Genomic DNA, 18,376 nt, shown 5'->3' on the forward strand with positions numbered 1-18,376 from the left:
TGAGATCGCACCATTGTACTCCAGCCTGGGTGACAGAGCAAGACTCTGTCTCAAAAAAAAAAAAAAAAAAAAGAGTGGAGCTGTTTCCTAAGATTGCACAGTTTGTGCACTGCTCAAAGGCACCTGGCTATAGGATCTGAAATGCAGCCCTGCTTCTCTCACAAAGCTTTGTGACCAGGAGCTAGGGTGGGTAGCTGGGGTGGAAGTTGTTTGTGTCTTATTTTATTTTTTTACTTGGCCCAGGATTAATGACTCTGGCACCTTATAGACTAGTAGTAGCACTGTAGAAGCATCAAACACAAGAACAATTATTTGGACTCCAGAAAAACACTGGAGTCTTTTATAACTTGATTTGAGTTTAGATAGTAGTCTATGTTTTTACGACAAAAGCAACTACTAAAGTGCTTTTATTAAATGATTAGCACTATCCTCAGCTACTAAGAGGATCTCATTTGCTTGTTGAAGCCCTGTAACTGACACTATACTATCAACATAAAGTCACTATACACACTACAAGCTTTACTATGCAATGCATTTTAAAACATTGAAAATAAATTAAAAATCAAGTCCTTTAAATTTTACCAATTATTGCTATGAAAAAGCCACCAAATAGGAAAAATAACTCTTCAGGAAAGGAAATATGAAACATTCTTAAAGTAGCTGTGGTGCTCTGTGGTACAAGGTAGATGTGGCACAATCATCTGCAATCCAAAGGCCTCAGTTCAAATCTTGGCCTCTGATCTTAACTATTGTGTGACCTTAAGTCACTTAACCTCTTTCAGCCTCAGTTTCTTCACCTATACATTAACTGGATTAAACTAAATTATTTCTAAGGCCTCCTCCAGCACTGACGATTCTCTAATTCTATAAATGTCATGATTATACATCTCCTTTTCTTTGCGTGATCTTCTTCATTTTCTATACCAGGTATTTTCTAACCACCATTTTACCTCCTTATCCTGGTACTTCTTCCCATTTGTCCCCAAATTGAAATAACCTCCTCCCTTATTCATTAATCAACATATGATTCTCTCTCATCTTCAAACCTTTCCAAACAAGTAACTTTAACATTTTCATTTGCAGTTATTCACTGAAGAACTTAAAGCTTTAATTACTTCTTTGTCCACTGTCCAAATTCTTTCTGACAACTTGGCCTAGAACAAATACTCCAGCTTATATTTAGGTAGTCAACAAGCATTTAAAATTCAAGGTAGTGGGGGGATTCCCAAAAATTAAAGATACCCAGGAGGAAAACTAGCATACAAACAAACCAGGATAGAAAAAATCTGAAGTAATATTTAAATGAAAGAGAGTAGGGCAAATACAGTGAAAATAAACTCTAAATAGCCAGAGCAGCAGAAATCTCAATATAGGCTAGTCAGTTCATCTGCAAAGAAGAATAAGAATTGAATTGACTGAGGAAATCTCTGCATGTGGGGCAACCTACACAGAAACCCAGGTACCAAGCAATTATAATTCTGAAAAGCCTTTCCAGGTGTTTTCTTTTTTCTAGAAAAGAGAGATGGCCAGGAGAACAAGTTTCCTAATGACAGTTTTAGTTACATGTTTCAATAGTCTAAAGAGTGTCAGCCATAGCAGTGTGAAAAAATGTCTCATTAGAAAAAAGAACATGACTGTCAATTTAAGCAATTCCTTCAAATACACTAGTTAAGGGGTCATCATGCTCATAAAGGATGACTTCAGAAACCTAGGCTAGGAAGGGCACTCTCTTGGCAAGTGTGTCAGACGCCTCTCCTTGGTTCTCCTCCACACCATTATCTCATTGACCCTTAAACACCTCCTCAGTTTCCCTCCACACCATTGTCTCATCATCCCTGAGGACAACCAGGGACATTGCAGGAGGGAGGAGGAAATCTTCCCTGTTGACTACAAATTAACTATATACCCAGAGCTTATGGATTCTCCTACCACTTCCAAACTTGGATGAAATCCTTCACCAGGGCATGGAATCTGGCTTTCCAAATGGAAGGGCAGCATGACACCACTCAGAACTGTGAGTTCACTCTCCATGACTGACCTTTGATAATGGGAAACAAGCAGCCAGAGAGGAGATGGGCAGATAAATTCCCTCTCCCTCTTTGCTCTTATGAACTGTTCTATTTTTTTTTTTTTTTCTCACTCTGTTGCCCAGGCTGGAGTGCAGTGACACGATCTCGGCTCACTGCCACCTCTGGCTCCGGGGTTCAAGCGATTCTCCTGCCTCAGCCTCCCCAGTAGCCACCACGCCTGGCTAATTTTTGTATTTTTAGTAGAGACGGGGTTTCACCAAGTTGGCCAGGCTGGTCTTGAACTCCTGACCTCAAGTGATCCACCTGCCTCAGCCTCCCAAAGTGCTGGGATTACTGGCGTGAGCCACCACGCCTGGCTGAACTGTTCTATCTATCCTATCTGGAGATATTGCACATGGTCAAGCATATGTACTTGCTGAATAACCAGCTGTGTCTCTTTGAGGATCATCATGACACAATTGCTAACATGGTAATCTAATCGCCTTGCTTTGCTTCTCAAAGCTTCTCACTTCTCATCTCTTTTCCTTCACTCTTACTCTTCTGAAATTGTACCACCAAATAAAGCTTCACTTAATTTCCAGTCAGGCTCTTGTTTCTAGAGAACCCAGGATACAACAGCAACAAAATCCAAAAGGAAGTAAAGAACCTTGGATTAGGAATCGACACACATTAGTTCTAATTTTGCTATAATTGGTTCTGTTATTAATTAACTATTTGATCTTGAACAATGAACATTCTGAATTCTGTAAAATGGGATAGGAGTTAGAGAAGAGGGACTAAGCTTCATGACTGCTGGGTCCCTTCCAGTTCCAGCGCTTTATGATCCTTAGGAATTAAAAACCTCAAAGCCTCAAATAACCCATTAGAAAATGGGTCAGTGTGAAAACCATGGAGTCCTATATATCCCAATTCATTTGACCACATCCATAGTTTGGATCAGCTTTATGAAATACATCTATAACCTAATCTTAGCTCTGAAACAGGGCCATTTTCATTATCATCAGCAGCCAATGTTATTTGACGTGTAACAGTATATTCTGCAACTTAACCAAATCTCACAAATCCAATAAAACCAGGCCACAGAAGGACTTATGAGAATTACAAGACCACATCTGTTCTGAGGAGAAGTTATAAATACAAGAATATTTCAAAAAAACAAATATCAAGCAGTATCAAGTGAAGGAAGCCAGTCACAAAAGACCACACATGGTAGGTATAATTATGTTTATATGAAATGTCCAGCATTGGCAAATCTATAGAGACAGAAAGTAGATTTGTGGTTTGCCTCAGACCGGAAGCTGGGGAACTGTGGAGTGACTGCTAAGGGGCATGAGGTTTCTTTTGGAAGTCATGAAATGTTCTAAAATTATATTGTGGTGATGGTTGTACAACTCCGTGAATAAGCTTAAAGCCACTGAATTATGTACTTTAAATAGATAAATTGTATGATGTGTAAATTATATCTCAGTAAAGCTCTTTTTAAAAGTAATGGGCTTTGGGAGGCCGAGGTGGGCAGATCACAACGTCGGGAGATCGAGACCATCCTGGCTAACACAGTGAAACCCCGTCTCTACTAAAAATACAAAAAATTAGCCAGGCGTGGTGGCGGGTGCCTGTAGTCCCAGCTACTCAGGAGGCTGAGGCAGGAGAATGGCGTGAACCTGGAAGGTGGAGCTTGCAGTGAGCCGAGATTGCGCCACTGCACTCCAGCCTGGGCGACAGAGTGAGACTCCGTCTCAAAAAAAAAAAAAAAAGAAGAAGAAGAAGAAATGGGGCTGTTTTATTGTGGGGAATGAACTGGCTCAGAAGCAAAAATGTGTGAGGAACAAATAGGCATTTTTCTGTAAGAACAGAGCATTTTTAAAGATTTTATCTTTTAAATGGCTCTGGAAGGGGAAGCATATAGTAACTTTATTTCTGTTTGACACTAAATTTCCCCAAGCAACAAAGAGCCAGGATCTTTGAGGACAAATAACAGGAAAAACTTAGGAACCTGTGCAACTGGCAGAGAAGTTTTAATGTGAGCAAATGCAAGATGACACATTTGGTGTGAAGAACCCTCAACTAGCATCAATCACAAACTACAGAAGGGACCTGGGAGTGAGCGGATTATTCAACTCAACAGAACATTTTGGAGAAAGCTATGATATACAAGGTATTATCTTAAGAGCTGTAGTAAAGAGGGAAATATAAAGATGATATAAATAGATTCCCACCCCCTCCTCGATTTCAAAGAGCCTTTAAGGGACAGAACATGCACATTTCAAGGCCAGGTGAATAAATGCTATGATAGAGTCTGCATAGGTTCTAGAAGGGTAAAGAAAGCCTTCATAGAAGAACTAGAATTTTCTCTGGGCCTTAAACATCTGAGAATACCAAGCCAATATGCTGGATAATAAATACAAAAACTAAATTATTCTACTCTTATTTAAAACAAGAGATATTCTTAGTATGGGTCACTATATTTCTTTCTTTCTTTTTTGAGATGGAGTCTCGCTCTCTTACCCAGACTGGAGTGCAGTGGCACAATCTTGGCTCATTGCAACCTCTGCCTCCTGGGTTCAAACGATTCTCCTGCCTCAGTCTCCTCAGTAGCTGGGACTACAGCCGCACACCACCACGCCCAGCTAATTTTTTTTTTGTATTTTTAGTAGAGACGGGGTTTCACCGTGTTAGCCAGAATGGTCTCTATCTCCTGACCTCGTGATCCACCTGCCTCAGCCTCCCAAAGTGCTGGGATTACAGGTGTGAGCCACTGCACCCAGCTAGGGTCACTATATTTTATAAGGTAAAGTAAAACTTCATTTATATAGAGACAGGTTTCTGGACAAATCCCTGGTTTCAAATTCAGAAACACCTTTAAAAAATAGTATTTAAGTTTCAGATCAAGTCCCTGAACACCTGGCAACAAAAATAGCCAAAAGTGCTAAAGAGCTGCACTGGCTATTTGTAGGAAAAGCCTTCTTCCAATCTGCTGACAATGTGTACGACACAAAGGAGAAGACAAGAAGGTAAGTGGAGAGAGCTGTCAGATAGAACAGAGATTAGAAGCAGAAGCAGAGGTTGGAAATGATGACAGAGTAGGCAGCAAGGTTGCAAGTAGCAGACACTGGCACATAAGAAAGCCAGTTACAAAAGAGGGAGAAAAGAAACTCATTCTACAGCCTAATCCAACAAAGAGTTACCAGCTCATAAGCAGCCCTTGAAGGCAGCGAGGGAAGACAGCATGCAAAGAGTGCCTAAGGACATGCTCCTTAGTATCCACACTAGGTGGATACCCAGAAGCGTGAAAACCAAGGCAGTTCAAGGGCCCAGGGGAGAAGGGGCTGTGACAGTGCTGAGCTCTACAGTGACAAATTAAATCATTCAGCTTCATGCCCTGCACCATATATATCTACAACACAGAACACTGACATTCCTAAACATGACCTTGAATCAACAATAGATTAAAGTAAGATAAACATTCTCTGTTTAAAAAGGTACATCTTAGAAATATTCCCTTCAAAATTAAAGTCAAAATATTTGGGGCAGAAATAATAAAATCCTCAACTATACAGCACACTTATTTTTTTAGTCCCCAAATGGCTTAGGCACTGATGACCTAGGACAACAGAAATTTCATTCCATAATGGAACAAGAGGGCAGAAATGATAATTCTATGACGACTGCCTAAAAAAAGAAAAGGTGAGAAGCCACTTAATTACATAAAATAATGAAAAAGGAAAAAAATCCCTGGCACACTAACTTATTCCTCACATCTGAATCTGAGAATACTTGGATTAAGGGCTTGAGCTCTAAGAGAGGAACTGAGACAGGCCCCTGTGTGCAAACATTTTATATCCCTTAAAAATATATAGGCTCAGTGAACAGGAGGAAACTGTTTCTTATTTGTCTCTCTATCCTCCACAGTACTTAGACATAATGTCTAGTATACAACATAAACTTTCAAACTGTAACACTCTTCTCTGCCACTTAACAACTAAATCTTATTTCACTGTGTACTTGCTGCTGCTTTTGATTAGCTCAGAAGAGTAAGGCAGTACCCTCCTACATTTTTCAGCTCTTGACACAAAGATACATCAATGGGGAAATCCTATGTCCTTCCTGACTCCCTACTCTTATGTGATTTACAGATGCAATTTTATCATTATATTCTCTTTTCTCTCACTTCCCACAACCTAGACATTCCAGCTTTTCTCAATATCATAGTTACTTAACTCTGACTCCTTCACAGTCAAAATCTAGGGGCAGATTTCAGGGACAAGTCTCAATGCATTTGGGAGAGATTATGGTTTCAGTCTGGGCTTAAAGTAGACAAACTGTAATGTCCATGGATGCTCTCACAGCCTCAGTCCTAAAGAAAAGTGTAGGGTTCTCCCAAGCTTCACCAAGATTACTGCTTTTTAGCAATAAAGGGCGGCCAGTGGTCTCTCACTATTAGTCTGGCCCTTTGGCTGGACTATTATCATTACCCTTTATGCTTTGAATTGTTTAGAGCTTCTGATATAGGCCATAAATGTGTAACTACTCATCCCAGTTTGTTATGCCAGTCCAATTTACCTGCTGCTGTCAGGGAAGTCCATAAAGTTTGACATTTGACATTTGAATCAGAATGTTAACTTTTCAAAAACTATTATTACTCGTTGCATTAAAATAAGCTGGGGTGGGTGGTTATGAATGTTGCAGGATCTTTGCTTTAAATTTCCAGCCTTTGTCATGGTCTTTTCTAATGGCGAGATGCATTAACATTTCCCATATGGTGTTAAATCTGAAATACGGCCAGCAATCACTTTCCCCCACCATTTTCTGATACCGGACGTAATACTTCTCTTTCAAAGATGGCATGCACATGCTTGCTGAACAAATGAAGTGTACAGGTACATGAGTGGCTAGGGACAGTTCATTCTTCCTGACCATGTCTTTTGTGAGATGCACAAAGCTGCTAGGCTTCCAGATAGTGAGGTCAGTGGGAAATGTGAGAAATTGTAGGTTAGATACAAGTGCAGGAAATACAATCTGAACAGCCTTGCTGCAACATATTTAGATAGTAGTCTGTATACTCTTTCACAGTGATTTTGTCATTTATTTTCCTGATGTAAATAAAGACTTTATTTTCTTGTGTGGTGATGCCTTTTTACTTTGCAATAAACATTTTTGGCAGCAATAAACTTTAAAAAGTTCATGTTTATAAAAATTTAAGTCCCAAATTTCCTTCTCAAGTAAGTTGATTATGAATATGTATACCACACAAAATACTGTATCCACCATGGGGACCACAGAGATGTTACTTCCAATATTAAAACTAGAAGACACGGTCTTTCTGAAGAAGTATCAGTATTACTTCAAAAGTTAGTAGCTACAGGCTGGGCGCTGTGGCTCATGCCTGTAATCCCAGCACTTTAGGAGACCAAGGCAGGCGGATCACTTGAGACCAAGAGTTCGAAACCAGCCTGGCCAACATGGTGAAACCCCGTCTCTACTAAAAATACAAAAATTAGCCAGGCATGGTGGTGGGTGCCTATAATCCCAGCTACTCGGGAAGCTGAGGCAGAGAACTGCTTGAACCTGGGAGGCAGAGGCTGCAGTGAGCTAAGATTGCACCACTGTACCCCAGCCTGGGCAACAGAGTGAGACTCTGTCTCAAAAAAAAAAAAAAAAAAGTATATGGGAGAATGTACATAGGTTACATGCAAATACTATACCATTTATATAAGGGATTTTGGTATCCTCAATGGGTCCTGGAACCAATCCCCCCCAGATACAGAGGGACTACTGTAATTTTTTTTGTATAAGGAGTATGATAAAGGTTGAGGTTATTGCACAAGGATATCCAATTTTTCCTTGGTACCTTTGTTAAAAAAAATCAATTGACTGTATATATGTGGGTCCATTTCTGGACTCTCTATTCTGTTTCACTGATGAATATATCTATCCTTAAGCCTAAACCATACAATTTTGATTACTGGTGCTTTAAACTTAAAATCAATGACAGTGAAATCTCCAGCCTTTTCTTTTTCAAAATTGTTTTGGCTATTCTACGTTCTTTCCATTTCCACATGATTTCAGTTTGTCAGCTTCTTTTTTAAAAAAGCCAGCTAGGAAGAGTTTGTATAGAACTAGTACAACGTATAAGTAAATCTATCTAGGAATACAGTTTTATTTTTGGTTTTGAGATTTTAAACCATTAATTAAATTTCTTTAAAAGACATAGGACTACTCCAGTTATCTTTTTCTTCCTGGGTGAGCTTTGGTTGTTTATGTCTCTCAAGAAATGTCATTTCAGTTGTCAAATTTATTAGCATAAATTTATTCATGTATTTATGTATTTTAATATAAAACAGTCTAAAGTCCACCAATGTATAAAACAATTTTTCAAATAAATATTTTGAAAATTAGGCTTTCTGCTCCTCCCGTTTGACAACAGCATCTTCTTGTGCAGGGCCAGCTGCACCCCTGGGACACCATGGTGAAGGTGAAGGCCAGGGTAAATGAATTTAGTTGTACTGGTCACCTGGTCACCAGGGCTGCTTTTAACTCTGGCAAAGTGGATATTGTTGCCATCAATGATCCCTTTGTTGACCTCAACTACATGGTCTACATGTTCTAGTATGATTCCACCCATAGCAAGTTCCACAGCATCATCAAGCCTGAGAATGGGAAACTTGTCATCAATGGAAATGCCATCATCATCTTCCAAGAGAGAGATCCCACCAAAATCAAATGGGGTGATGCTGGCACTAATTACATCATGGAGTCCACTGGTGTCTTCACTACCATGAAGAAGGCTGGGACTCATTTAGACGGGGGAACCAAAAAGGTCATCATCTCTGCCCCCTCTGTCGACGTCCCCATGTTTGTAATGGGTGTGAACCATGAGAAGTACAAAAACGGCCTCAAGATTGTCAGTAATGCCTCCTGTACCACCAATTGCTCAGTTCCCCTGGCCAAGGTCATCCATGACAATTCTGGCATCATGGAAGAATTCATGACCACAGTCCATGCCATCACGGACACCCAGAAGACTGTGGATGGCCCCTCTGGGAAACTATGGCACAATGGCTGTGGAATTTTCCAGAACATCATGCTTGCATCTACTGGCACTGACAAGGCTGTGGGTAAGGTCATCCCTGAGCTGAACAGGAAGGTCACTGGCATGATCTTCCATGTCTCCCACCACCACTGTGTCTGTCAGTCATGGATCTGATCTGCTATCTAGAGAAACCTGGCAAATATAATGACATCAAGAAGGTAGTGAAACAGGCTACGTGCAGTAAAACTCATGCCTGTAATTCTAGCACTTTGGGAAGACGAGGTGGGTGGATCAGCTGAGGTCAGGAGTTCAAGACCAGCCTGACCAACATTGAGAAACCCCGTCCCTACTAAAAATACAAAATTAGCTGGGCGTGGTGGCGCATGCCTGTAATCCAGGTACTCTGGAGGCTGAGGCAGGAGAATTGCTTGAACTCGGGATGCGGAGGGTGTGATGAGCCGAGATCTCGTCATTGCACTCCATCTTGGGCGACAAGAGTGAACTCTGTCTCAAAAAAACAAAACAAAACAAAACACATTGCCTCTACCTCCCCCTTTAGAGGAGCTTAGAAAAAATAAAAGTGAAAAAATCCTACTGAAATAATATCAGAAAGCACACTGTAGTCTTATATTACCTCCATTTCAAATCCAACTTTCAGAAAAGGAAGAAAACTATTTTGGGTAACCAAATAACAAGTCCCTTTTAAGTCCCAGAATTTAAAGATCACTGAAAAATGAAAATTATGTCTTGTACTCAAGATGCTCTGGAAATTATTTTTGAATTCCCACACCATTATCATTAATGGACACCAGCTGTGGGCTCACAGTATCATGGGTATATTACACAATAAAAACATAGACAGGATGTCACTGCACATATGCCATGCACACAGCTTGGTTCTAACTAGCATCACTGAGAATAGACATTTATTAAAGAAGATAGTGTAGCGGTTAAGAGCACAGGCTCTGGAGTCAGACCACCTGGGTTCCAATCTTGGCTCAGCCACCTATGCAATGTGTGACCTTGGGCAAATTATTTAAGTCCCATTTCTTCCTTTGAAATAACTCACAAAGTTGCTATGAGAATTAAACGAAATAATGAATATACAGTACTTAGTATAGTGTCTACCCCTTAGTAAGCACTCAATAAATATTAAGGATTATCACTATTGGTACTACTGAATAATTATAATGGTAAAGAGGTCCTGGTAGGACTAGGGTTTACAAAAATATATGGCACAGTTTCTCAGCTTTCAAGAACTTACAATTTAGAAATCAATTCAAAAAGCCCAAAAGGAAGGGGTAATGAAGGAAGGAAAAATAATGAAGAGTATCATTTTCCTATTAAGACCTGAAAGTTAATAAAACAAAATCACTTTAAGTCACCCAACCCAAACAGGTAAATATTTAATCGATTTAGTGTCATTTGAACACTCAACAGAGTTAATAACACTATGCATATGATGGAGGTTGAGTACGATCTAGTACACAGGTTGACTTAGACAGTTTAATATAAAAGTTTGGGACTGGGTTTATCCTTGAGAATATATTGATTTTGGTCATGATATTGATTTCATGACCCACCCATCCTTAAAGAGCCAGCTGAGAGACTGCTACCACCTACCAACCAGCTAACAGTAGTCAATAAGCATATAAACTGACCTACATTTTGTAAGAAATATTTTTAACTTTAAAGGTCAACTTATATGCAGTGCTTTAGAGTTTACAAAGTTCCTGCACTCATTACTTTTTATCTCCATAATTGGGAGATGAACATGACATCCTTCACAACAATTCTAGGGCCTTCATTCAAAACAGATGATACAGTTTGTCAGATAAGGTGACTTTATATCATTTTACTCAACCAGTTCCACTTTTTTTTTACTCTTAATGTTTTGAGATTAAAGAGTAAATATGCTATGCACTGATTGTTTTTCAAAAACAAAACTGACATTCAGAAAAATGAGGTTTTCAACTCCAGGTGCTCTGATTTGCTGTAAAGCTAAAGCATAAATTACCTTCTCAGTTTCACCTCCCACTGTCTACCCCATGTTTTCTGCTTTATCTTTTCAAGATTTTTCTCCACAGATGTAGGTGTCCAGGTTCTTGTTTTCAATTTAAATCAAAATAATTCAAGAAATACTCAATTCAATAAATCAATTCAAGAAATACCTACTAGCTCTACTAGCTCTGGGTGGCTGCTGGAGAGGTCCACAGATAGGTAAGTCTCTGCCTTCACAGAATTCACAATCTACTTTCAAAAGCTATAATACGAGGTCAAATAGTAAGGGCCACACAGTCGTTTACGATGTGATAGGGATTCAAAGATTGGAGAGCGCCCTCTGGTGGAAGGGGAAGAGATGATCAACAGAGACTTCAAGGCATTTAAATTTTACACAGAATTTCCATAGGAAGAACTGAAGGAAGACAGGCATTCTGGGGAAAAGGCATTACGCAGGAAACTAGTGGCAAGGGGGTGTTCACGGAAAAATGAGTTGTTCAGATCTATCAGAGTTGAGAGAACATGTTATGAAGGGCTTTGAATATTAGGCTGGGAGGTCCTATAGATAACTCGATATTAAATGAGTCATCAAAGTTTTTAGGCAGGAGAGTTAGGTGATAAGAACTTTACTTTGGGAAGATTCATCTGATAGAAAGTGTGTAAGAAGAGTCCAAGGGGAGACTTTGGAGTTGGAGGCCACTGAGAGGGTTACTACAATATTTTAGACGAAGTGAAACTGCTCTTTCAAGATTAAAAGTAAAGGGAAGGAGTCAGAGAGGTTGGTAGCTTAAAGGAAAAATAAAATTGGGCAAAGCTCCCCCTCAGTTCTTTTCCTTAAAGGGGCAACAAAGACCTGAGATTGTATGAAGGCAGAAAAGAAAGATTAGTAGAGAACAAAATATTATTGATGCTAGTGGGGAGAAAAAGATCAATCACTGAATTAAAGTCCAAGAAGAAGAGGGATGGAATGGACCAGGTGGAGGTATTCATTTTGAAAAGGAAAATTCCCGTAATTCAAAAGAAAGAGAGTATAAAAGGGAAAAGAGTGAAAATACATGGAAACTTATTGAGACAGAGGAAGTTGAAGAATTTATGGCAAATAATCTCAACTTTCTCAGAGAATAGGAGGCAAGCTCATTTGCATGGAGAACTGGGGAGAGACTAGGTATGTGCCATGAATTAGGTGTACTTAGAAAAGACATTGAGAGGGATATAATCATGAGCAAAAAAGTACTGGTTAAAATATTGCTTAGACACCAAAGTAAATGCAACCAAATAAAAAATAGTTAAAATGGTCATATTCAAAATGTAAAGACTTTTGTGCTTCAGAGGACACTGACTTAATCAGTGTTAGGCTGCTATAACAAAATACCATAGACTGAGTAGTTTATAAACAGTATAATTTATTGCTTACAGTTCTGGAAGCTAGAAGTCCAAGATCAAGGCACCAGCAGATTTGGTGTCTGGTGAGGGCCTGTTCCTCATGGATCATGCCGTGTTGCTGCATCCTCAGAGGGTGGAGGGCAGAGACAAGCCCCTTGAGCCTCTTTTATAGGCATACTAATCCCATTCATGATGGTGGAGCCCTCATGACCTAATCACGCCTAAAGGCCCCAACTCTTAATACTACAGCATTGGGGATTATTTCCAATATATAAATTTGAGGGAAATATCAACATTCAGACCATAGCAGACACTACCAAAAAAGTGAAAACACAACCCACAGAATGAGAGAAAATATTTGCAAATTTGATATCTGATAATCATCTGGCACCCAGAATATACAAAGAACTCTTAAAACTCAGCAATGAAAAACCAAATAATGCAATTTAAAAATAGGCAAAGATTGAAACAGATATTTCTTCAAGTAAATACAAATGGCCAATAAGCACATGTAAAGATGCTCAACATCATTTATCATTAAAGAAATGCAAATCAAAAACACAGTGAACTATTCCTTACCTACCAGGATGGTCATAGTAAAAAACACAAATGGACATAATAAAAAATAACAAGTGTTGCTAAGAGTGCAAAGAAACTGGAACTCTCACATATTGCTGGTGGTAATATAAAATGGTTCAGCCATTTTGGGAAACAGTTTGGCAGTTTCTCAAACAGTTAAATATAGAGTTACCATATAACCCAGCAATTAATTTCATTCCTATATACCCAAGAGAAATGAAAACATATAGCCACACAAACTTGCGCACAAATGTTCATAGCAGCATTATACATGATAGCCAAAAAGTGGAAGCAACTTAAATGTCTATCACTTGATGAATGAGTAAAGAAAATGTGGGATATCCATATAATTGAATATTATTTGCCATAAAAATGAAGTACTAACATTAATACATGCTGCAGTATGGATGAATCTTTAAAACATTATGCTAAATGAAAAAAGCCAGACACAAAAGGCCACTTAGTGCAGAATTCCGTTTATATGAAATGTCCACAATAGGCAATTTGATAGAGAAAGAAAGCAGATTAGTGGTTTCCAGGGGCTGAGGGAATGGGAAAATGGGAGAGTGCAGAGTGACTGCTAATGGGTACGAGATTCCTTTTTTGCAGTGATAAAAATGTTCTGAAATTACATACTGGTGATGTTTGTACAACTTTATGAATACTAAAACCCACTGATTTGTATACTTTAAACAGGCAAATTTTATGACATGTGAATCTTGTGTTGAAAAGATTGCTAGCAAGTTTAGATGACCTGTATTTTGTTCCAGATCTATTCAGAATGGAATCATGATTTTCTCAGGCTACAACACATCATAGAAGTCAGATGTGAGGGTTACTGTGAATAAGGTATTGGGAAGGCAGGAAGGCAGAGTCAAGGAATGAATAGCACATTGCTGAAATTGATATCTATAAAGCCCAGGCTCTTTCAAAATCCAATAATAAAAACACAAACAATCCAATTAGAAAATAGGCAAAAGACATACAAAGACATTTCACCAAAGAGGATATACTGATGGCAAATAAGTACATGAAAAGATGTTCAATAACATTAGCATTAAGGAAAGGCAACTTAAAACCATGAAATATCACTACACACCTATCAGGATGGCTAAAATAAAAAATAGTGACAACACCAAATGCTGGCAAGGATGCAAAGAAACTGAATTATTCACACATTGTCAGTGGGAATGTAAAATGGTACAGCCACTCTGGGAAACAGTTTGGCAGTTTCTTACAAATCTAAACATGAAACTACCACATAACCTAGCATTACATTCCTAGGCATTTATCCCAAAGAAATGAAAACCTATGCTCACACAAAAACCTTTACACAAATGTTCATAACAGCTTTATTCATAATAGCTGAAAACTGGAAGCAATCCAGATGTACTTCAACAGGTAAAGGTTAAACAAACTGTTATACCATGGAATACTACTCAGCAATAAAAAAAAAACTGTTGATACACTCAACAACCTACATTAATCTTCAGGAAATTATGTGGAGTGAAAAAAATCCCAAAAGGTTATAAATGGTATGATTCAATTTATATGACATTCTTGAGATGACTAAATTATAGAAATGGGGAAAGGATTAGTAGTTGCCAAGTGTCAAGGATGAGAGGGTGAGAGGTGTCTATAAAAGGCAATAGGAGGGATCATCATGGTGACGGAAATGTTCTACATCCTGACTGCAAGCATCATTGTCAGTATCTTGACTATGATATTGTGCTGCAGTTTTGCAAGATGTTACCATAGGGAAAAACTGGGTAAAAGATACATAGGCTCTCCTCTTTGTATTATTTCTTACAACTGCATGTAAATCTACAATTATCTCAGTTTAATTTTTAAAAAATAGCTCAGGTTAAGGGGGAGGCAAGACAAATCAAAATCTGGCATGCAGTTTTCATATTCATAAGAGGATTATAATAACTACTAAGGAAATTTTTTAAATGTATACAAAGTAAGGAGATTTGGGAACACAAGGTCTCTTAATGACAAATGGTAATTTAATATTACTTCTACCACTATTGAAATGGCTTAGGAACTACAAATGGCTAACCATTTCCAGAGGATTTATTCTCAAGGGAATGTGATGGCATAAGTGCCTCAAAGGGTAAATTAATGATACCTGAAACCCATAGGAAACCAGGGCTGGGTGCAGTGGCTCATGCTTGTAATCCTAGCTCTTTGGGAGGCCAAGGTGGGAAGATTGCTTGAGTCTAGGAGTTCAAGACCAGCCTGGGTGACAGACCAAAACCTTATTTATAAAATAAAAATAAGAAAAAAAAAAAAGGCAGATCCTCTAATGCAAGCTAGGCCCTCTCATTGAGAGTCTGCTTCTGTTCCAGAATGCTTGAACAAATAATGCTTGAACAAAAGCTTAAAGAACAAATCACAAAAGAATGGATCTAACTAATAGTTATGTGAATTAGAGATCTGCAGCTATAGCACATAAGTTAGCAAAACTACCTCCAGATTTGAATCTCACCTCACCAATACTGTGTGACCTCAGATAAGTAATCTGTGGAGCCTCAGCTTCCTCAAATATTATAAGAATCAAAGAGATGATATATACGCCACACTTGACATGGTAGCTCCATAAGCTCAATAAATGTTTGCTATTATTAATAATCAAAAGGGGCTAGAGTAATTAACTTATGTAGTCCAACATTTCCTGCATGAAAGGAATCACTCAACAACATTCTTAACATCCTATCCAACCTTTACCTGAACATAGCTACTGATAGGTAACTCACTGCTTTTCAAGGCAATCCATTCCAATGTTAGGCAGCTACAATGGCTAGAAAGTTGTTCCTTCGATTTTTGTCCCAAATCATCTCTGTAACTTTCAAACGTTAGTCTTGGTTCTGCCTTTTTAAGCTGCCAAAAAAGGTCTGGCCCCTCTTCTGCACAGCATATCACATGTTTGGCACCTGCTATCCCATTGCCTGGCATATTTGGAAACTAGTCTGTAGTCTGCTCCTCTCTCTTCATGTGACCCAAGACACATCTCTCTGAGCCTGCTTCCTCAACTTGAAAGTCAGGATTTCAGATCAAATAATCTCTCAGGCTTTCTTCTCCCAGAAGCAAGAGCTATACTTTTACTTATGTCTTTGCCCAGTTATTCTGATTCATCCTCCCAGGTCAGTTTTCAGTCCCCACATCCACTTGGTGCCTTCCTCTGAGTACACCCTAGCTGGTTAGCATCTTTCTTAAAATTTGATGCCCAGAATAGAACACAAAACTAAAGTTCTCACACCTGTAATCCCAGCACTCAGGGAGGCTGAGGAGGAAGATCATCGGATCCCAGGAGGTCAAGGATGCAGTGAGCCATGATGGTGCCACTGCACTCCAGCCTGGGTGACAAAGCAAGACCCTGTCTAAACAAAACAAAACAAAACAAAACAAAACAAAACAAACTAAAGTTCTGGCAACAGTAGTCAAGTGTACTATAAAACTCTCTCCTCCCTACTTAATACAATTTAGTTTAAGCATTTGGGACTAACATTTTACCACCTTGCTTTACGGTGAGCTTACAGCTAATTATAAACTTGGGGTCTCTTCCCATAAAATGCTGTGTTCTCTATCATGGGTATCCAGAGTTGATTTTTTGAACCTAAGTTCATGATTTTATGTTTATTTATGGTTAATGTACTCTTTTCCATCTCTTCCATCATTTCAGCCTATGAAGCTACATTGGACTCTTGTGTTATTCATTGCATTAGTCAAAGTACATTGACTATATTCTTAATAATTAAGAAAATATTTTTAAAATCGTTTAATATTCCACTATATACACAAGTGCTTGTATACAAAAAATGTTTCCTTACTATTGATGCTGAGACGGAATCTTGCTCTGTCACCCAGGCTGGAGTGGAGTGGTGCAATCTCGGCTCACTGCAACCTCTGCCTCCTGGGTCCAAGTGATTCTCCTGCCTCAGCCTCTTGAATAGCTGGGATTACAGGCGCCCACCACCATGCCTGGCTAATTTTTGTATTTTTAGCAGAGACGTGGTTTCACCATGTTGGCCAGGCTGGTCTCTAACTCTTGACCTCAGGTGATCCACCCACCTTGGCCTCCCAAAGTGCTGGGATTACAGGTGTGAGCCACCCCACCCAGCCGAGTTCTTAAAACTTTAAAATTTTTCTTAAGGGTTCTGATTGTACAAACAGACAAAACATGCTTTAGACCTATCGACCTCGTAAGTTCTTTTTTAAAGATTCTAAAACTTAACAGTTTCTAAGTATGACGTACAACAGTCAAAATAAGGAACAGGGTATGCCTCTCAGTGTGTTGGAACTGCCTGATAGAAAAGAACCCACTCCACACTACCATATAAATGTTTGTACCTTTTTGCTACTTGTTATAACAGCAAATGATTCTCCCTTGTTAATACAGTAAGAGATTTTGAAACACAGCTAGACTACCTTGCCCTCTCAAGGTGGAAAAAAAAGATTACTATAAAAATTTGCTGTTACAGACAATTTAACCAGCTTTAAAATGCTTTAGAATTATTACTGCTTACCTCCATTATGAAGCCTTCCAGTGGAAAGTTCTGGATGTTTTTGCTTTTGTAGGACACCAGAACATACCATGCTGTATTCCTTTATGTCATACTAATATTCATATGAAGACTGTGCTCAGATTGAAAGAAACTCTTTCAACTAATTGGATTATGATTCTAGATGGCAAATATTGTCCCTTTCAAAGATAAAATTGTCCCAAATTTGCGCTAGCAATAAAAAAAAACAAACTGTGTTTTCCATTATCTATGTTTTATACCTGAATAAAATGAAAGATCAAGGCTGGACACAGTGGCTCACACCTATAATGCCAGCACTTTGGGAAGCCAAGGTGGGAGAATTTCTCAAGGTCAGGAGTTCAAGACCAACCTGGGCAACATAGTAAGACCCCATCTCAATTTTTAAAAAATGTTTTTAATAGTTGGGCATGGTGGCACACACTGGAAGTTCCTGCTACTTGGGAGGCTGAGGCAGGAGGGTTGCCAGAGCCTGGGAGTTAAAGGTTAGAGTGAGCTATTGATCATGCCACTGCACTCCAGCCTGGGTAACAAAGCAAAACTGTCTCTAAAGAAACAAAACTAAAAATTTTAAGATAAAAAATAGTAAAAGTCCATATTTCAGGTAAATCTTACGTATTCCTCTCCCTATTGCATGATTTCCTGTTTATTTGCCTGTTCCAGAGTTTCAAATTCCTTTTCTTGACCCTTCCAGACACTCTGCACACAAAAACATACGTGTATAAGAGCAAACTTAATATTCAGCCCAAACACCTTAAAGTTAATTACTAATATTTATAATGATGTGGGTGTTTGCATATAATTATTGT

The 18,376-nt window shown here is 38.8% G+C and overlaps 1 protein-coding gene and 1 pseudogene across 11 annotated transcripts in view, besides 1 other annotated feature; one reads left to right on the top strand and one right to left on the bottom strand.

The window, feature by feature from the left end:
• Positions 1 to 18,376, bottom strand: part of FRMD5 (FERM domain containing 5) — a 328,710-nt gene that overhangs the window by 184,254 nt on the left and 126,080 nt on the right. The window lies entirely within an intron of this gene.
• GAPDHP55 (glyceraldehyde 3 phosphate dehydrogenase pseudogene 55) lies at positions 8,427 to 9,292 on the top strand (annotated as a pseudogene).
• Positions 11,214 to 11,508: a silencer, noted in NCBI's record as "tiled region #1582; HepG2 Repressive non-DNase unmatched - State 12:CtcfO, and K562 Repressive DNase unmatched - State 12:CtcfO". NCBI's record gives its function as "represses a minimal TATA promoter and a strong SV40 promoter by Sharpr-MPRA in HepG2 and K562 cells {active_cell/tissue: HepG2 | K562}" and the evidence as "EXISTENCE:reporter gene assay evidence [ECO:0000049][PMID:27701403]".

Source organism: Homo sapiens, chromosome 15, assembly GCF_000001405.40.
Source record: "Homo sapiens chromosome 15, GRCh38.p14 Primary Assembly".
Taxonomy (NCBI): domain Eukaryota; kingdom Metazoa; phylum Chordata; class Mammalia; order Primates; family Hominidae; genus Homo; species Homo sapiens.